This window comes from Homo sapiens, chromosome 11 (assembly GCF_000001405.40).
Source record: "Homo sapiens chromosome 11, GRCh38.p14 Primary Assembly".
NCBI lineage: Eukaryota > Metazoa > Chordata > Mammalia > Primates > Hominidae > Homo > Homo sapiens.
In genome coordinates, this window is record NC_000011.10 from 21,346,612 (window position 1) to 21,368,479 (window position 21,868).

Genomic DNA, 21,868 nt, shown 5'->3' on the forward strand with positions numbered 1-21,868 from the left:
ATATATGCTGTATCAAATATATATTAATTATATGATATAATATCAATTTATAATATCAAATTAAATATATAATATATATGATATATAATGTGTGACTATTAATGAAGCATAGATGCTTAACAGGAAAAAATCACAAAATATTCACTACACACACTAAAATGCCTATGCCATGTTCACTGCTAAAATGCCTTGCTCTCTCACTTACTTGAAAAACTCCTACTTCACCTTCTAACTCTACTCAAAAGCCATTTACTATGTAGATGATCTTGGGGTAACTTACAGAACCTCTATAGCCTCTTATTATAACGTGGCATACAATAATAATAACCAAATGTTAAGCTAGTTTAGGAGATTATATGCCTGATCCATATAAAGTGCTTAAGACAATCTTTGGCAAAAGTTATGTGCTCTATAAACTTAACAATGCTGCTGCTGCTGTTGCTGACACTTGAACATCATGGAGAGACAAGTGCTGTGAGGGAAGACAAAGCAGGGTAAAGGCACAGAGTGGCAGTGGTGTTGTTTAAGAAATCCTAGGTCATGCAAGGCATTTCCGAGGAGTTGACATTTGAGTGGAGAAGAGAATGAAGTGATGCTATGAGCTATGTGAACAACTTGGAGGTGAGTGTTCTAGTCAAAGGGAACAACAAGTGTAAAGGCCCTAAAGTGGAAAAGAGTTTGGCTTGTTTGAAGAATAAAATCATAACGGGGCTGGTCTTGGTGGCTCATGCCTGTCATCCCAGCACTTCGGGAGGCTGAGGTAGGTGGATCACCTGAGGTCGGGAGTTTGAGACCAGCCTGACCAACATGGTGAAACCCCATCTCTACTAAATACAAAAAATTAGCCGAGTGTGGTGGTGCATGCCTGTAATCCCAGCTACCTGGGAGGCTGAGGCAGGAGAATCGCTTGAACCTGGGAGGCAGAGGTTGCAGTGAGCCAAGACTGCGCCATTGTACTCCAGGCTGGGCAACAAGAGCAAAACTCTGCCTAAAACAAACAAACAACAACAACAAAAGAAACCATAACAGGACATTTACTAGAGGTGTCATTTTTCTTAAGATCTTCAATTTTATCTTTTAACAAATTATGGACATATATAAAATTAAACACTGAGTCATTATTATTAGTAAGAATTTCTATCCATTTAGTCACCCTTCTTGAAAGTTTGGAGCTGAGTCAAGTGCAGATTTTTCCAGGCAGAGTCCTGGGAGCCAGTGGAAGGTAACCACCGGTGCCTTATATTGGCATTGGTAGTATGTGGAGCCAAGGGACCAAATTGTGTCCAGAAAAGGGGCGCATGTCTGATTTGAAGTAAGTAGTTCAAAAGAAGGTTGCCAATCTTAGGAGCTGGAAAGAGAATGGAGGATAAAGCTTTGGAACTGAAAAGGCTGAGCTAACAAGGATATGACAGGACAAGGAGTGTTGTGACCTGATGTGGCTAGAAGCTCCAAGACAGGGTGAATTATTGTTGTGCAACTTGGGTTGCAATGTCTTCCAGAATAATTTTTTCTATTTAATATAAGATATGGCTTTCTAGATAGAATCATTAAGATAACATTAGGAGGTAGAGGCATGCTCAGGCTATTTCCCAAACCTTACTTCTATTTCCTCAGTAGAGTGAAGACTTTGGATATAAGATGAAATGTAAAAATATGGTAGAATATATTAGAACAAAGAATGTTCTTTGAATTTGACATCCTTTTAGTTAGTCACTGAACATGTGGTATTCACTTACTTATGTGTACCGGACCCTGTGCTGAGCTCTAGGGGAGATACAGAAATGAGGATTTTAGGGCTCTTTCTCTTTTGTAAGCTGGAATAAAAGTAAAGTACATGTAAACCAATAATTTTAATAAAATGTGTCTGGTGCTTTACCATTCATGAGCTATATAAATTTGATAAGATATTTAAGCATTTATTTCTTGATTTATAATGTTTGGATAAAAATAGCACCTACCTTATGGCATTTTGGGGTGGGGTTAAAAGAAAAGAAAAAAAACAGTGTTAAAATGTTTAGTACATTACCTGGCACATGCTACATGCTAAATGCATTTTTAAAGGGCTTTGATACCAGCAAGGGGTTGTGGTAGCATGGAGCAAAAAATGACTTATTTTATCTGGGCCTGGAAAAATCCCCATAGGACTACTAAGTCTTGAAGGCTGAATTGATAAATGGGGAAGGAATTACAGAGTGAACAGTCATGTGAAATACTAGGAAACTTTCTGGAGGAGAATTTTGTTTATCAAACAATTAGGTAACATATATGGAAAACATTAAGAGAAACTTTAGGAAAGTTGGGCTGGGGTCAGATTATGAATGGCTTCATATATCATGTCAAGAAACACTTCTTTAAGTAATTACGAAGAGCCTTCACAGGTCTTTATGCAGAGGAGTGAAATAACAGGAAATCAGGTGTGTCTGAACCAACACTAATGAGATGTAGAGGAAAGCACAAAAGGTCATTTGGCAACCATGTGCCTGGGTAGAATCACAGAGGATGATTCTGTATTAGAGCTACAACTCTTGGGTGAATGGAAAGAGAAAATAACAAGAGGAAAAAAAAATTCTTGCTTTTAAGGCAACTGGTATATGTGTGATGCCTTAGACAGCTGTAGGAGTTGAAATGTGCCACTCATCAGTGATATTATTTTATGGAAGCTGGAAAAGCATTAACATGTATGACAATAGTTAGCCTATCCATGGTCTATATAGTTGCAGGGAAATGTAATTCACAAACACCTGCCTGAGTCTATTTGGCAAGTATTGGGAGCATCAACCTTAGTTTTATCAGCATGAAAAACTGCTCAGGGAATGTACTGCATTCAAAAAAGACTTTGCTGAAAACCCCAGAAAATGGTTTTGAAAATTCATGGTGTTATGGTTATTGGTTTTAATTTTAAATCTACAATGCTTTCTGTCACTCTGAAATGCCTTTATTTTGAAAAAATAATACAGAACTCAGTCTATTGTGTTTTCCTAGTAAAATAGTGTCCTTTTTTTTTTAAAGCAGTGAATCAGAGGAAGAGACTGATTTTGATCACTTGAGTTTGGGAATGTATATGTTATATTGTCTGTGGATAGAGAGACCTTTATATCTTTGCTGCTTGTGCAAATGCTACAGTGTAGGTTGCAGTACATTGCTGCATTATAGTTTAGCTTGGTGACCTACTGTAGTGAACATAAGTCTGAGATCCTAGATAGGTCCATGTGTCCTCAATATGGCTGTATCTTATTACAATAATGCCCTATGAAGCCAATATTATGAATATAATTTGATATGGCCTTTTATTAAATGTTTCACAATCTACTATATTGTAATCATTTCAATTAACTGTGCACCTCTTAAAATAATTAAGACTTAGACCTTTTACTTGCTGTCCAACATAGCCAATAATTTTTAAAAATCTGATAGATGATAGGACACCTCAGCAGTCATGCTTGGGAGGCTTCAAACTTTTATATCCAGTGATCATCACATCCATTTTTTTCTGATTTGAGACAGAATTAAAACATTTTTGGATGATATTTTGATTCACTTTATTTAATTATTTAGACATTTTCTCTCATGCTCACTGCTTTGATAGTCTTTCTTAATGCCAGTAATTCTTGGGTATAACTATTGGATATGGTATTATTCTGGATGTTGGAAGTTCCTGATCCCAATTTTGAGAATCATCAAATGGAAACTAACAGCACTAGTAATGGCTAATAAAAGAAGAGAAAAATGATTTAACTACTGAGCAAGATCTTTTTAAAAAAAAAAAACTTTAATAACCACTAATATTTAACAAATACCATTGTCCATATAGTTAAGAATCCAAAAGGAAAAAAACTTCATTGCCCAATGCATATGTTTATAATTTCATCCTGTGCATTCCATTCTGTTGAAGAACAAAATAGAAGCCAAAGCATTTATAAAAGGCCAACATTAGGTGAAAACACCTGAGTGACTCTTCTGGCAGGTTTAAATGGCCTGGTGAGACTCGCTAACTCTGCTGGTTTTTTAAGTTTACTCTGGGATTTGTAATTAATTTATTCAATAAGGAGTGATTGATTATGTATTATGTGCAGGAATTTTGCTTGGAACTGGAGACAGAGAGTTGAAAGACACCATCTGTATGTTTCAGAAGCTCAAGAATCTATTAGGCTAAACAGATCAGTGGGAAGACAATTATAGGACAGTTTGATAAATGTTATATGAGTACAACAAAGATTCCCTGGAGGAATACAGGAGGGACTCTGTACTGGGTTGAATAGTGGACCTAAAAAAATATGTCCAAGTCCTAACCCTCATTACTTATTAACGTGACCTTATTTGGGAATAGGACCTTTACCGGTGTAGTTAAGTTAAAGATCTTAAGATGGTATCATCTTGGATTTAGCATGGGTCCTAAATCCAATTACTGGTATAATTGGATTGGTATAAATGATATCAGTAATAAGGAAAATGAGAGGGCAATTCGACACAGAGCACCTAGAGGAAAGTCACATAAAGATGAAGGCAGAGATTGGAGTTATAATGCTACAAGCCAAGGAATATCAAGAACTGCTAGCAGCCACCAGAAGCTAGGACAGAGCACATGGAACAGATTTTCCTTCAGATCCTCCAATGTGAACCTATCCAGCCGACACCTTGATTTCAAACTGAGTGAATATTTTTTTTGTTGGTTTAAGTCACCAAGTCTGTGGTAATTTGGATATGGCGACTCTGGGAAGCTAATACAGGTCTTTAAGCTAGACTGGAGGTCTGGGACTGGAGATGGTCATCAGGTAATTACAAGGCCTCCCAGTTCAGGGAACATTTCAGCTGAGATTTGCAGGTCAAGTGAGAGTTACCTGATTTACTAATGGGAAAAATAATTGCAGGCAGAAAAAAGTAAGTGTAAATGCAGTCCATATTATTTCCAGTAAAAAAAAAAAAAAGAAACTTTTTAAATTTCTAATTCTATAGGTGGAAGGAAAGAGATATGCTGCTCACCCAGTTTTGTCTACTCCGGACAAAGATCTGATCTCTACTATGTGGTCTACCTTCTGTGGATCTCTGTAGTACATAGATTATTGTCTTCTCTCACATCTCCACTTCCATCACACTGATTGAGGGGACCATAAATTTCTCTCCTGAATTATTGTAATAGCTTTTAACTAGTTTATTTGCATTCACCATTGCTTATGCCAGCCCAAGTTCTATTTTTCTTAACACGTTAGTCAGAGAGAGCGTCTATTGAAACCTAAGTAACATAATGTCATTCTGTAGCACAAAATCTTCCAATGCTTCTTAATTGCGTTCAGAACAATAAAATAAAGTCTTTAAACATCCTAATGACCGTAGGAGAACTGATGCTTTATGAATTTTCTGTTACCGTCTCCTACAACTCAGCCTCTGACTCACTTGGCCTTTTTGCAATTCCTGGACATACTAAGTATGGTCCTCCATGAAGCCTTTATGCTAAGCTATTCTCTTTGTCTAGAGTACTCATCACCACACCATCTGCCTGGCCTGTTCTCGGTCTTCCTTTATGTTTGTGCCAAAATGTCAGTTTATTAGGCCTTTTGTGATCATCCTAAATAAATAGTAACCCCTCTACCAATATTTCTTATCTCCTTTACCCTGCTTTAGTTTTTCCCGTATCGCTTACTATAATTTGGATTATTGTGTATTTATTTGTTTAGTTTATATTTTTCTCCACTAGAGGATAAGTTGCATATGACCAGGAACATTATCTGTTTTGATCATTGTTATTGTTAAGTGCTTAGGAGAGTACTTGGCACATAGTAGTATTTTGATTGATAGTTTTTGAATGGATGGATGAACAATACATAGAAGATTTTTTTTAACTGGGAAATTCATAGAAGCATTCAAAATGTTTGATGAGAATTTCTGGGTCCATGCTTTATTAGGAAAAACTCAATAAATTTTAAGTGCAATATTACTTAAAACAGATTACAAAGGCTGCAGTGGGGTCTGATATTAATTCCTCATTTCTTCTCACGAAAAATACACACAAATAAATTGGGGATGGCCCTTAATTGGTGTGGCTTTAATAACAGGTTTGATCAATTTTGGATCCTGTTCAGTGATGTTCTTATCCCCCATAGGCTAGTTTCTATTGCAAACTGCTTTTCTTACGTGAGCTCTCTTGTCCTTAATTCTTATTACTCTTACAGAAAGAAAGAATATAGTCCTTGAGGCCCAAATGTTATTAAATGATTTCTCTGGGAAACTTTGCTTCTCTCCTGTGTACTCTGCAAATGTTGGATGAAGCCGTGAGATGCCACTTCTTTTTGTCCCTCTTACCTGGGTACTCTGTGCCTGTCCTTTCTTTGTTTTGATCATAATACACTAATGAGATTCCATGTTTTCTGCATACTGTGGATATGGGAGAAGCACTTTAAAGATCTCAACATGAGGACATGAGTAGATTCCTTTCCAGCTGAGAGTCTGAGTTGAGAATAGCTCTCCAGTTGGGCAGAAAGATGAACATTATGGAAACTTCATTATAGCACCCTCAGGAAATAGTCAGACAAGGCATCTTGCTTGATCCCTTCATGGCCAGTATCATGTGGACTAAACAGATGGGTAAAAAAAGCAAATTCAGCATGATTGAGGAACTATACCTAGTTGGATAAGGCTATAGAACTTGCTACTGGTGAACAGTGGAAAGTAAAAATCTTTGAGGTATGAGGCACTTACTTTCATATTTCCCTTGTCATTTAAACTTCATCCCAACTTGAAGAAGAGGTATTCATTTCACAAGTGAGGAAACTGAGGCACAGAGGAGGTAACTTGCTGAAGGTCACACAGGTGGTGATTAAATCCAGATTTGTCTGTTTTTCCACAGACTATGCTTTTACCTCCACCATGCTGCCTATAAATTAGAAATACATTTTGAGGGATTTGAGCTTAAACCTTTCAAAAATAACATTAGCACAAGAACAAGGGCAGCCCATGTTGTAGATGAGATATAGCTAAACATCTAGAAAGGCAGATCGCTGGGCTCCAGTGCCAGCGGCTGTGTGCAGCATGAAAGCAGCTATTAATCAGACACGCTCGCTTAAGAGGACCCTGGGTTTTGACTTTGAAGGCAGCCAAAGAAAGGTCGAATATATGCTTTTGAATTCTACAGCAAGCAGAGCTCTTTTGAATTCTTTATTTTCTAAAAATGATAATTAATAATTCTAATGCTTACTTCCTTGGTTGAGCTCTTCAAACATGGAATTAAAAGTAGTAAATTTTCAACAAAATACATATGACAGACTGTTAACCCCATAAATTAGGGTTTCATTTGCCTTAATTTCTCACATCAGTGTATTTTTCCCAAGATGGCTTTCCCCACATGTATGTGTCTAATAAACCAATGATGTCAACAATAATTAGTACCTTTGAAGCAGCTGAAACTTAACGCTGGACCTGTGGTTACATTATTCCTCACAACAACTATATAAAGAAGGTGCTGTTTTAACATTTTATTTTGTCAAAAAGAAGATAAGTCTTACCGCAGTTTCTAGATGAGCCCAATGTCACATAGCTAGAAAATGGCATATGTGAGATTTGTGCGAGGCTCCCCACATCCAGGAGCCCATTGTCTGAAAGACCAAGTCTCTGCATGTGTTAAGTATTTGAAGGGGTGGGGTTAGGGGCAGGGACAGTATTGTCTGCAGGATATGATGGCTAAGTTGCGAGATATGATGGTTTTTTCTTTTCTTTATTTATTGTTTGTATTATTCCTCTTTTCCTCCCTCCTTCTTTCTACTCTCCTCTCCTTCCCGCTTCACTTAGTTAAAACTTCAAACCAGGTTTCTCTCATTGGGTGAAACTGGCATTGCTTCTCAGGCACCTGATGTTCTGCTGAATCCTGGGTGTGACTAGAATCCCAGCACCTGGAATTTAGTCTCAGCCTCATAATTAACTTTCTCCGGGCTAGCTATCTAACTTTTCTCCTTTCAGCTTCCCCAACTCCAGAATGCAGATATAATTACAAATTACCTTTTAAGATTATTGTGAAGTGCTTTTTAAACAAAAGCAGAAAATGCTTTACAAATCTGAGAAGTTGTTCAGGTTTCAGGTTGGAGATGGGAAACAAAGAAGCTCTCTTGAGAACTCTGGTCCACCCGAATTACCCAGCTACTATCACTGCAGGTTGGATTCGTATTTCTTTCAAGATTTAACATGTAATTCCATGCAGTTATATAAAGTTGCAGAATGCTTTTACCTGGGAGAGTTTGCTGGAATTTATCTCTTTAAAAGTCTCTAGACTGTGACCTCCAGGGCTAATATAAGCGTTGGCTCTGATATAGCAGTGTAATAGGAAACCTTCTGACCTTCTTACCTGGGGCTTTCTCTTCAACTGCTTTTCACAGATAGCCCTTTCAGGCTCCCATTTCCTAGTGCTCCTGTAAATGTTGAATGCCAAATTTTGAACTGCTTTCAGAGGTTTTACTGCAAAGATATAATTTGATGTTGCTTTAGTGTCCTAGGGAGTCCTGAATTAATTTCTTGAATTTTGCATGTTAAAATGTGAACATCATCTTTTATTCTATTCCTCTTCATACCTTTTTGTCTTAATGTCCCATCATTTTCCTTGCTGTTGATTCCAGTGCCCAACAAGCTCTCAAAGTCTGACACTGATGTGTGCACCAGTTAGTGAGAGGCAGACTGCAAAGAGTTTTTGATATTTGAGAAGAAAATTCTCTGCTATATGAATTAACCTAGAGAAAACGGGGCTGATATATTTAAAAAGTGCTCACCATTTTGAGCACTCACTATGGGTGGGCACTATGCCAAGTGCTTTACATGCACTACCTCATTTAATTCCAGTTTTACCAGTATGATACAGGTTCCCTTATTGACCTGATTATACAGATAAGGAAGGTGATACTTCATAGAGATTAAGCAATTTGGCAAAATCAGTCAGCAAATAAGAAGTGAAACCAGGACTAGAAGATAGATCTGTTTCTAGAATCATGCTTTTACTAAGCCAAAGGCTGTATGGAAGAAGTACTCAGGTACTTGAGTTGTTTTGGAAAATGTGTCCATGATTGACCACAAGGTTAGGATTAAATACTCCTCACTCCTAAGTTCTTGGTGATTATCTGTTGAATTGCCCTTCCTTTTAATAAATCTTTCATTTCTACATTCTGGAGAGTTTAAATTCATAAAAACTTTTTCAAATTCAGCATCAGTTCTATGGAGCCATTCTTGACCTTCTGGTCAGAAGAGTTTTCCTTCTTGGCACCTCCTCTTGACTTGTACAGGCAGTATTGCTTGGATCTCTAAGTCACTACGTGATCTGCACACTTCATTCCTTGGGGCCTTTGCACTTGCTGTAACCTTTGCCTGGAACATTCTTTGCTTGATAATTTCATGGCTCACTCTTTTCCCCTTTAGGTCTCTACTCAAATGATCTCTTTTCAGTGATCACCCGTTATATGTCACCCTATTTAATTGCAACCTTCCCCACTGACACACTTCCCACACTGTGTCTGCTTTTTCTCCTATCACTTGCTATCATCTAATATCCTATGTCTCACATTTATTTTACCTGTCTCTTCTCCATAAGAATATAAACATTTATTTATTCTGTCTCTTCTCTATGAGAATGTAAACCCATCAGAAATATTTTTATCTGTTCTGTTAACTACTTGAGCCCTGGTTCTGAGTAATCTCTGGTACAGAGAGGGTGCACAATATATATTTATTGAATGACTGAATGAAGGACTGTCTGCCTTTTTTCACCTTTGACACTGTTGAGATAGGGAGCTAGATAATTCTTTGTTGCAGGACTGTCCTGTACTGCTAACCTGTAAGATATTTAGCAACATCTCTGGTTTCTGCTCACCAGTAGACCCACTAGTAGCAGTTGTGACATCCAACTGGGATAACTGAGAGTGTCACCAGACATTACTAAATATCTCCTGCAAATGGGGGGCATTGTCCTCCGCGCAAACACTGTTTTAGACTCAAAGATCCTGGAGAACAGGATCTATATTACTAGAGCATATAATAATACTGTAGCGCATAGTAGATGCTTGATAATATTTTACAATTAATTTGTTTATTAAAATAGTTTTTGGGGAACAGGGTTTTTGGTTACATGGATACGATCTTTAGTGGTAATTACTGAGGTTCTGGTTCACCCATCACCCAAGCAGTGTACACTTTACCCAATGTGTAGTCTTTTATCCCTTGAACCGCTCCCTCCTTCATCCTGCATCCCCAAAGTCCATTGTATTATTCTTAGGCCTTTCTGTCCTCACAGCTTAGCTCCCACTTATCAGTGAGAACATACGATATTTGGTTTTCCATTCCTGAGTTACTTCACTTAGAATAATGGTCTCCAACTCCATGTAGGTTGCTGCAAATGCCATTTCTTCATTCCTTTTTATGGCTGAGTATTATTCCATGCTGTATATATACCACATTTTCTTTATTCACACATTGGTTGATGGGCATTTAGGCTGGTTCCATATTTTTGCAATTGTGAATTGTGCTGCTCTAAACATGTGTGCGCAGGTGTCTTTTTCATAAAGTGACTTCTTTTCCTCCGGGTAGATACCCTGTAGTGGGATTGCTGGGTCAAATGGTAGTTCTCTACTTTTAGTTCTTTAAGGAATCTCCATACTGTTTTCTATAGTGGTTGTAATAGTTTGTATTCTCACCAGCAGTGTAAAAGTGTTCCTTCTCACCACATCCATGCCAACATCTTTATTGTTTTTTTACTTTTTATTTATGGCCATTCTTGCAGGAGTGAGGTAGCTCATTGTGGTTTTAATTTGCATTTCCCTGATAATTAGTGATGTTGAGAATTTTTTTGTATATTCGTTGGCCATTTGTATATCTTATTTTGAGAATTGTCCATTCATGTCCTTAGCCCACTTTTTAAAGGATTATTTGTTTTTTCTTGCTGACTTATTTGAGTTCCTTGAAGAGTCTGGATAGTAGTCCTTTGTTGTCCATAGTTAGTGAATATTTTCTCCTGTTCTGTGGGTTGTCTGTTTGCTGATTATTTCTTTTGCTGTGCAGAAGCTTTTTAGTTTAATTAAGTCCTATCTATTTATGTTTGTTATTGTTGCATTTGCTTTTGCGCTCTTGGTAATTAACTCTTTGCCTAAGCCAACAACTAGAAGAGTTTTACTGATGTTATCTTCTAGAATTTTTAGGTTTCAAGTCTTAGCTTTAAGTCTTTGATCCATCTTGAGTTGATTTTTGTATAAGGTGAGAGATAAGGATCCAGTTTTATTCTTCTCCACATGGCCTGCCAGTTATCCCAGCACCATTCGTTGAATAGGGTGTCGTTTCCCCAGTTTATGTTTTTGTTTGCTTTGTAGAAGATCACTTGACTATAAGTATTTGGTGTTATTTCTGCTTTCTCTATTCTGTTCCATTGGTCTACATGCCTATTTTTATACTAGTATCACGCTGTTTTGATAACTATAGCCTTGTAGCATAGTTTGAAGTTGGGTAGTGTGATGCCTCCAGATTTGTTCTTTTTGCTTAGTATTGCTTTGACTATGTGGGGTCTTTTTCGGTTCTATATGAATTTTAGGATTGCTTTTTCTAGCTCTGTGAAGAATGATGATGGTCCTTCGATGGGAATCACATTGAATCTGTAGATTACTTTTGGCAGTATGTGATTTTCACAATATTGATTCTACTCATCCATGAGCATAGGATGTGTCTCCATTTGTTTGTGTCATCTATAATTTCTTTCAGCAATGTTTTGTAGTTTTTCTTGTAGAGGTCTTTCACCTCCTTGGGGCTAGGTGGTATATTTGTAAGGTTTTTTTTGTTTTGTTTTGTTTTTTTTGAGGCAGAGTCTTGCACTGTCTCCCAGGCTGGAGTGCAGTGGCATGATCTCCGCTCACTGCAACCTCTGCTCCCAGGTTCAAGCGATTCTCCTGCCTCAGCCTCCTGAGTAGCTGGGATTACAGACACATGCCACCATGCCCTGATAATTTTTTTTTTTTTTTTTTTTTTTGGATTTTTAGTAGAGATGGGGTTTTGCCATATTGGTCAGGCTGGTCTTGAACTCCTGACCTCGGGTGATCCGCCTGCCTCAGCCTCCCAAAGTGGTGGGATTACAGGCGTGACCCACCGTGCCCGGCCTTTTTGTTGTTGTTGTTGTTGTTGTTGTTGCAGCTGTTGTAAAGGGGATTGAGTTCTTGATTTGTTTCTCAGCTTGGGCATTGTTGATATGTACCAGTGCTACTGATTTGTGTACATTGTATCTTTAAACTTGACTGAACTCATTTATCAGATCTAGGAGCTTTTTGGATGAGTTTTTAAGGTTTTCTAGGTATACAATTGGCAAACAGCAACAATTTGACTTCCTCTTTACTGATTTGGATGCCCTTTATTTCTTTCTCTTGTTTGATTGGTCTAGCTAGGACTTCCGGCACTATGTTGAATAGAAGTGGTAAAACTGGGCATTCTTGTCGTGTTCCAGTTCTCAAGGGGAATGCTTTCAACATTTCCCTTTTGAGTGTAATGTTGGGTATGGGTTTGTCATAGATTGATTTTTTATTACCTTGAGGTATGTTCCTTCTATGTAAATTTTGCTGAAGGTTTTAATCATAAAGTCACACTGAATTTTGTCAGATAATTTTTCTGCATCTATTGAGATGATCCTATGATTTTTGCTTTTAATTCTGTTTATGTGATATATCACATTTATTGACTTGTGTATGTTAAACCATCCCTACATCCTTGGTATGAAACCCACTTGATAATGGTGTATTATCTTTTTGATATGCTGTTGGATTCTGTTAGCTAGTATTTTGTTGAAGATGTATGCTAGTATTTTATTGAAGATGTATGCATCTATGTTCACCAGGGATATTGTTCTGCAGTTTTGTTTTTTTGTTATGTCCTTTACTGGTTTTGGAATTAGGGTAATACTGGCTTCATAAAATAATTTAGGGAGGATTCCCTCTTTGTCTTTTGGAATAGTTTCAGTGAGATTGGTACCAATTCTTCTTTCAATGTCTAATAGAAGTCAGCTGTGAATCCATCTGGTCCTGGACTTTTTTTGTTGGCAATTTTAAAATTACTGTTTCAATCTCACTAATTGTTATTGGTTTGTTCTATTTCATCCTGATTTAATCTGAGAGGGGTGTATATTTCCAGGAACTTATCCATCTCCTCTAGATTTTTTAGTTTGTGTGCATTAGGTGTTCACAGTAACCTTGAATGATCTTTTGTATTTCTGTGGTATCGTCGTAATATTTCTTGTTTCATTTCTAATTGAGCTTATTTGGACCTCCTCTCTTCTTTCTTGGTTAATATCACTAATGTTCTATCAATTTTGTTTATCTTTTCAAGAACCAGCATTTTATTTTATTTATCTTTTGTATTGATTTCTTTGTTTCAATTTCATTTAGTTCTGCTCTGATCTTTGTTATTTCTTTTCTGCTGCTGCATTTTGGCTTGGTTTTCTCCTTGTTTCTCTAGTTCCTTGAAGTGTGATCTTAGATCATCTATTTGTGCTCTTTCAGACTTTTTGATGTAGGCATTTAATGCTGTGAACGTTACTCTTAGCATTGCTTTTGCTGTATCCTAGAGATTCTGTTACGTTGTGTCACCATTATCATTCAACTCAAAAAAAATTTAAATTTCCATCTTGATTTCTTTGTTGACCCAAAGATAATTCAAGAGCAGATTATTTAATTTCTATGTATTTGTATAGTTTTGGGGGTTCCTTTGGAGTTGACTTCCAGTTTTATTCCACTGGGGTCTGAGAGGATACTTGATATAATTTCAATTTTTAAAAATGTATTGAAACTTGTTTTGTGGCCTATCATATGGTCTATTTTAGACAATGTTTCATGTATTGAAGAAAAGAATGTATATTATACAGTTGTTGGGTAGAATGCTCTGTAAATATCTGTTAAGTCCATTTGTTCTAGGGTATAGTTTAAGTCTATTTTTTCTTTGTTGACTTTCCATCTTGATAATCTGTCTAGTGCTGTTAGTGGGGTATTGAAGTTTCCCACTATTATTAAGTTGCCATCTACCTTATTTCTTAGGTCTAGTAGTAATTGTTTTGTAAATTTGGGAGCTCCAGTATTAGGTGCATATGTATTTTCCTGTTTGATCCTTCATCTTTATATAATGTTCCTCTTTGTTTTAATTGTTATTGCTTTAAAGTCTGTTTTGTCTGACATAATAATAGCTACTCCTGCTCACTTTTGGTGTCCATTTGCACAGAATATCTTTATCTGCTCCATTCCCTTAAGTCTTTATGTGTTAGGTGAGTCTCTTGAAGACAGCAGATACTTGTTTGGTGGACTTCTATCCATTCTGCCATTCTGCATCTTTTTAAGTGGGGCATTTACGCCATTTACATTCAACGCTAATATTGAGATGTGAGGTACTGTTCTATTCATCATGCTAGTTGGTGCCTTTATACCTTGTTCTTTTTCCCCCACTGTGTTATTCTTTTACAAGTCCTGTGAAATGTATGCTTTAAGGAGTTTCTTTTTTTGTATATTTTGAAGTTTTGTTTCAAGATTTAGAACTCCTTTTACCATTTCTTGTAATGCTGGCTTGGTAGTGGTGAATTCTCTCAGCGTTTGTTTGTGTTAAAAATGTTTTATTTCTCCTTCATTTATGAAACTAGCTTTGCTAGATACAAATTCCTTGTGTGACAATTTTTTTTTTTTTTTTTTTTTTTTTTTAGTTTCAGGAAACTGAAGATGAGACCCCAATCCCTTCTTGCTTGTAAGGTTTCTGCTGAGACGTCTGCTATTAATCTGATAGATTTTCCTTTATAGGTTAACTGATACTTTTGTCTCACACCTCTTAAGATTCTTTCCTTTGTCCTGACATTAGATAAACTAATGACTGCATGCCTATGTGATGGTCTTTTTGTGATGAATTTTCCAGGTGTTCTTTGAGCTTATCACATTTGGATGTCTAGATCTCTAGTAAGACCAGGGAAGTTTTCCTCTATTATTCTCTCAAATAAGTTTTCCAAACTTTCAGATTTTTCTTCTTCTTCAGGAACACCAATTATCCTTATGTTTGCCCATTTAACAGAATCCCACATTTCTTGGAGGCTTTGTTCATGTTTTTATTCTTTTTTCTTTGTCTTTGTCTTAGTGGGTTAATTTGAAAGCCTTGCCTTTTAGCTCTGAAGCTCCTTCTTCTACTTGTTCTAGTCTATTGTTGAATGTTTCCACTGAATTTTGTATTTCTCTAAGTATTCCTTTCATTTCTAGAAGTTGTGATTGTTTTTCCTTTATGATATCTATTTATCTGAGGAATTTTTCACCCATATCCTATACTGTTTTTTAATTTCTTTAAGTTGGTTTTCACCTTTCTCTGGTATTTCTTTGAGTAGCTTAATAATCAACCTTTCAAATTCTTTATCTAGCAATTCAGAGACTTCTTCTGGGTTTGGCTCCATTGCTAGGGAACTGGTGTGATTTTGAGGAGTGTTGTAGAGCCCTGTTTTGTCATATTACCAGAATTATTTTACTTTTCTTTTTTTGTTTTTTCATTTGAGTGGACGAATTCAGTGGAGAGGTCTGAAACTCAAGGCCTGCTGTTCAGATTCTCTTGTGCCAGAGGATGATCCCCTGATATAATGCTCTCCCACTTTCCCCAGAGATGGGACTTCCTGAGAGCTGGACTGCAGTAATTGTTATGGCTCTTTTGGTTCTAGCCACCCAGCAGAGCTACCATGCTCCAGGCTGGTGGTAGAGGGGGTCTGCAAAAGTCCTGTGATGTAATCGGTCTTCAAATCTTCCAGCCATGGATACCAGCACCTACTCTGTTAGATGTGACAGGGAAGTGAAGTAGACTCTATGAGGGTCCTTGGTTGTGGATATGTTTAGTGTGCTAGCTTTCTTGAATGCTGGTTATACTAGCAGTGAAGTTGTCACATAGACACCCTTACGACTTCTGGTTAGCCAAGATGTTGTGGGCATTGGAATTAGGTGTCGTCTTCTTCTTTCTGAGATCAGAGTTATTCTGTCCTGAATTGCTATAATGGAGTTGGTTGGCCTCCAGCCAAGAGGTGGTACTTTCAAGAGAGAATTAGCTGCGGTAGTAGTAGGGGGCTCTAAGCTTGCCCTAAGATGGCCAGGGTAAGTATTTTGGTTTCTCAGGCAAAGGGATGGGCCATAAAACTCCCAAGAGATTGTCTTTTGTGTTAGGCTACCAGGGTGGGTAGATAAATATTATCAGGTGGGGGAGGCTTACGCAAGTCTTGGCTCAGACTCTCCTTGGGTGGGGCTTGCTGCAGCCACAGTGGAGAATGGGGGAATGGTCCTCAGGTCAATGGGGTTATGTTCCAGAGGGGATCTTGGCCACCTCTGCTGTGTTATATGGTTCATCAGGGAAGTGGGGGATAGCGAGAGGTCTCACCCAGCTCCCATACAGTTGGCGAGACCAGTCTCACTCCCGCAGTGCTCTGCTCAGGCCTTGCCCCAGGCCATGAGCTACTCTTCTGAGAAAGCTCCTATCTACAGATGCTCCCACATCCCCCAGACTTCACTCAAGAAAATTTGTACCCAGTCAAAACCACTGCCAATTTCAGGTGAGAGCTTCCTTTGCCCCAAGACCCTTTCCCAATTCCACTGGTTGCCTGCCCCGAGGTCCCCTGTGAGATATAGTGAAGGGATGGCTTCCTGGGGCTCAAGTTGGAGGCTGGGAGTATGTTCAAGGTACTTCCTGTGCTACTTGTACTTTCAAATTTCTTGCGACTCCCTAAACCCATTTCATCTCTAGGTAAGGTAAAATCCTTCTTTGGTGATCTGGATTTTCAGATTGCCAAGTGGAGATGTGTGTTCAGAGGTAGGTTTTTCCCCCTTTCACATTTTGGGCACTCACAGTTTTTCACCTGTTTCACAGAATTTGCTTCTTTCAAAGGATTGGTGAATTCCTTCAGTTTTCCTGGTATGTTTCTGCAGTGGTTCTTGGAACAAAAGATCATGGTGTGAGTCTCCAAATGCTGTTCTGTCCATACATGTGGGAGCTACATGTTAGCTTTGTCTCCTATCCGCCATCTTCCCCAGAATCTCTTGATATTTTAAGCTGGATTGATCTGACTTTAAATGTTTATCTCAAATATTATGATATAGTTACTATAAGACTATCCTCTCAAAATTTTTATTTTCTCATATAATAAATTTACTTCAATAACAAATACATGTTTATTATCACACAGGTTCAAGATGATATACAGGAATTCAGAATTGCAAAAAATGTGATCTTAGTCCCTAAGAATCTCACAGTCTGGTTAGAGAAGCATATACACTGGCCAAAAATGAAATGCAGAGGAATGCATTATCTGTCTCCTCAACCCATGCCTCTCCCATCTAATTTATCCTCTATAGTAGAGATTTTCTGCAGAGGCCTGGATAATAAATATTTTCACCTGTGGAGGCCATATTGTCTCTGTTATACCTACATTCATGGAAGATAGCACTTGTAGACATTTTCTTATATAAATATTTCTAAAACTAAGAGCAACATCTCAATTTGAAGATTTCAGGAGTAATGTAAAAGACTTCAGGCCAGGCGTGGTGGCTCACGCCTGTAATCCCAGCACTTTGGGAGGCCGAGGTGGGTGGATCACAAGGTCAGGAGATCGAGACCATCCTGGCTAACATGGTGAAACCCCATCTCTACTAAAAATACAAAAAAATTAGCTGGGCGTGGTGGCGGGTGCCTATAATCCTAGCTACTCGGGAGGCCGAGGCAGTAGAATGGCATGAACCCATGAGACAGAGGTTGCAGTGAGCCGAGATCACACCATGGCATTCCAGCCTGGGAGACACAGCAAGACTCTGTCTCAAAAAAAAAAAAAAAAAAAAAAAAAAAGACTTCATTCCCCTATCCTATCACAAAATGCTATGGACTAAAAGGGTAAACAAGTGGTTTTTAAACTTCAGTTTTAGTGGATTGCAAAAACAAGTCATTGGATCGTAGCCGCACTTTATAAATGATATAGAATAGAGTACAATAGAGTAGAAAATATCAGAATGCATTATACATACTAAGAATACATTTTATGTTTCTGTTTATATGTGCATATAAAGGTCTTTAATAAAAATTTTATTTCATATTCTTCTAAAGTTAGCAATGCATAGTCTTAAACTGACTAACTCAAATAATAGACAGGGCAAAAGTCTGTATGCAGATATGTAGGTGGTAAATGATTGTGCCTTAAGGTAACCAACAAATCCAAGAGGTAGCAGGGAGATGAGAAGGTGAAGGGGATGGTTCACAGATTCTAAAATGCTCCTGCTTCTCTGAATGGCTTACTGCATTCTTTTTAAATATTCAGCCTCTCACCTCAGTGTGAGTTATAAACACCTTTTCATTTTCTTCTATTAAGTACCTTTCCTCAGGACAAAACTTTGACCTGAAATGTCTCTTTTCCTGTACTTCACCTGGCAAAAAGCCCATTCATTCTTCCAGGCCCATCTCAAATGCTAGCTGTTTTGCGCAGCTTTGCATCAGTCCACCGGGCATAGTTAATCATTTTCTCCTCTTTGTTCTTTCAACACTGTGTTCGTGCTACTGCAGTAGCATTTATCACATTTTATTATGCTTGGTTTTATATGCCTTTCTCTCTGCTATTCCACTATGAGATTCTTGGGGATGGGGACAATTTTCATGACTAGTTGTAGACTTCCCAACACCCAGTACATTATCTGCGCATAGTAGGTGGTAGAGCCCTAAACGGAGAAAGCTTAGTGATGTGGTTAAGACTCTGGGCTTGAAACCCAGGATGCCACTGTGCAGTGGTGCAAACTTCGATAACTTATTTAGCTTATCTAAGCCAGCTTTCTCATCTGGCAGTGAGTATAATATGATTAATCGACAGTGTTACTGTAAGGATGAAATGGAATTATGATATCAGGCTTTACTGCAGTGCCTGGCATTTGATAAGTTTTCAACAAACAGAATTTACCATTAGTATTGCTGTCATTATTATTATGATTACTGTTGAAAGGACAGTGGAAATGGCTACTGGAACTGCTGATACAAACGTATATAGTAACTGATAGTGTCAAAAGTGATTTTTGAAGTAAATAATTAAATTTTGTAATATACTCTGTGCTTTAGAAGAGAATGATAATATGAAAAGCAAGTATTGTAGACTTCTGGATGTTTGTTTTTATATTCAACTGGCCATGTTACTGATTTTTACTCTTATCTTTCCTCGATATTTTAAACTATTTTGGGGGAGAGGTTGAGGGGGGAGGAATGGAAAACAGGATTAAAATAATACAATTTTGCTCCTGAAGACACTTCATCAACTTAATTGTGTAAAGTTGGGGCAGAATTTCTCAACATCACCACTATTGACATTTTGGGCCAGATCATTCTTTGTCATATAGGGCTGTCCTGTGCATTGTAGGATGTTTAAACATTCATGGTCTCGACTCACCAAGTAATAGGACCACATTGTTCCTCCCTTCATCTTGTGACAACCAAAAATGTTTGAGGGGCGTTTGATAAATATGCTCTGAACAAGGTGAGGAATGAAACCAAAAAGCAAATGTAAAGGTGATGATATCACCCTTATTATTTACAGAGCTGGGTTGGAGAAATGAGTTTCTGTTTGTAAACTGAGCTGGCTTGATAAAAATGAACACAGAAGAAGGCCGACTTATCCGCTGAGTTCCAGAGAGGAAAGTGTCATTAAAGAAGTAAGGAAAACTGATAATGTCTGAAGTCAGCTCATTCTCAAGAAAGAAGAATGGCAGGCATGGTCCTTTGCTGAACATGACCAGATTTTAATGATTTCCTTCCCATTTTGGATTTTAGGCAGACATGGTCAAATTAATTATAACCTTTGGTTCCTGACACCTTGTAATCACTGTCTATAGGGGCCAGCTTTTATTTATTTAAACAGTTATTTTTAATAATATAATTCATACCTACTAACATGCTACCCAAAATAAAGCTGGAAATGCAACAATTGTCGCATCGAAGCACATAGAGCTTCCCAAACCATCCTTCTGCCTCTTCCACTTGAGCAGCATCATCCTGATATTTATCTTTCTCAAATTTACCAACAAAATAAATCCCTCCACCTCCATGGGGTAGAATGAGCAAAGTCAGCAGGCAGAGGTCAGAAATTAGCTTCAGGAAAATGCTGCCTCAAGGAAAATTCTTCCTCAAGGAAACTAGGAAGGAAGAAAAGGTTTACCTTCTAACAGATGGTGTTGAAATTTGTATGTTTACTTACTGTTTCAGGATTTCAGGGTGTCCCTAGGAACTAAATATATGTCAATAAACTTTAAGAAGATTATGAGAAGTGTTTAGAAAGTGAAGGGCTATTACTTTTTATTAGTGTAGAACTGCTTTTGTTGAATTGAGTACATGGTGATGGTACTGGACATCCACAAACCTGGCATCTGCAAACCCACCTTCTCATTTTGTTCCCCTTAATACCCACATTTTATTTTACATGCTGAGAATATTTTATATTTTAATATAAAAAAAGTACTCTTTCTGTGGATTGAACCTCTCTCAAATATGAATTTTGTGATTTTATTTTCTTGCACAATGAAAAGAGTTCTTTCAATATTAGAAGCATACCATTTTACAGTTGATCCAATCTAACATCTCCTCCAGTGCAGCAAGTTAATAACAAATGGCACTATAATGACAGATTCAGGTTTATCTTACTACACACACACACACACACACACACACACACACACACACACAATCTATTTTTGCCACACTTCAGAATCTGGGTAGCAGTTGAAGAAGTACCAACATATGAAGTCACATATCCATGGTACCTGAGTTTCTCTGAGTTTTCAAAGGAGCTATGATTCTAAGTTGCATTGCAAACCACACGATATTACAAAGGGCACTAAGTTAAGGAAGGAGTGACGAGGAGTCCTCACTAAAGAATAAGCTCCGTGGCACAGGGATCTTTGCCGTCTTACTGCAGCATCTTTAGAATCTAGAACATAAACTGGTTCATAACTGTACCGTTATCTGGAAAAGCAGAGTCCTGGTGATAAATAACAACAATCACATCCAGTTCGTGAGCACATTCCATTGGCTGTGCCTTATGCTGTGTGGGTATACATTGGTAACTTAATTTAATCCCCCCAGCATGAGTGTTATTATTATCCTCAGCTGCTTTTTTTCTTGAGAAAACTGAGGCACAGAGGAGTGGAATGATTTGCTGTAGTTCATACAGTTAATAAATATAGAGCCAGAATTAGGACCATATAATTTCTGCCAGCCCATCTCCTCACAAACTGGAAAGGCAATGTAGCGGTGACCCAGCTCCTTGTTTTGCTTCTGCCATCAACTAAATAATGCTGTGCAAATTACCAGTCCTCTGCATATCAGAGTCCTTTTCATTGAAATGCTGAGTTCATAGTCAATCAAGAAGAGCCTGTCCATATATGAATAATCCGTGCACAATCTTTAGACTAAGATACATCAGTATTTCTGATATTTTATTACATATTCAAAGAAAGCTTGAATTGATCTTAATTTCCACAAAGTATTTTATGTTTTTGATGACATATCCCTTCTTTATTTGCTTTGTGTTGAAATTACTTTGGTATATTGTCTAAGGTTCAACTAGGGAATGATTTCTTGGTTATTTCAGATAAAGATCATTAAAAATAATGTGTGCCTAGATTGGGAGAAATGTGACTAGTCTCAGGCAAAAATAGAAATTAGATAATAGGTACATGAACTTGAATAGCTCTTCATCCCTATCCTTTAATGCGACATGTGCAATTTAGGCATTGGTTTTTTTTTTTTTTCTTTTAACTTTTAGTCAGTTCCCTTAGCCCTTATGGAACTATTTTAAAAATAAAATAAACCTGCCTTTGTGAACACCGGATTGTAGATTAACCCACACTGTAACAAACAA

General features: G+C 37.6%; 1 protein-coding gene across 4 annotated transcripts in view, besides 1 other annotated feature; it reads left to right on the top strand.

The window, feature by feature from the left end:
* The window catches only part of NELL1 (neural EGFL like 1), a 906,136-nt gene that overhangs the window by 677,061 nt on the left and 207,207 nt on the right, over nt 1–21,868 (top strand). The gene's annotated exons all lie outside the window — the stretch shown is intronic.
* Nucleotides 9,952–10,121: an enhancer, noted in NCBI's record as "experimental_20249 CRE fragment used in MPRA reporter constructs". NCBI's record gives its function as "activates a minimal promoter by MPRAs in K562 erythroleukemia cells, with activity observed for both the introgressed and non-introgressed 11:21378194 variant alleles {active_cell/tissue: K562}" and the evidence as "EXISTENCE:reporter gene assay evidence [ECO:0000049][PMID:34662402]".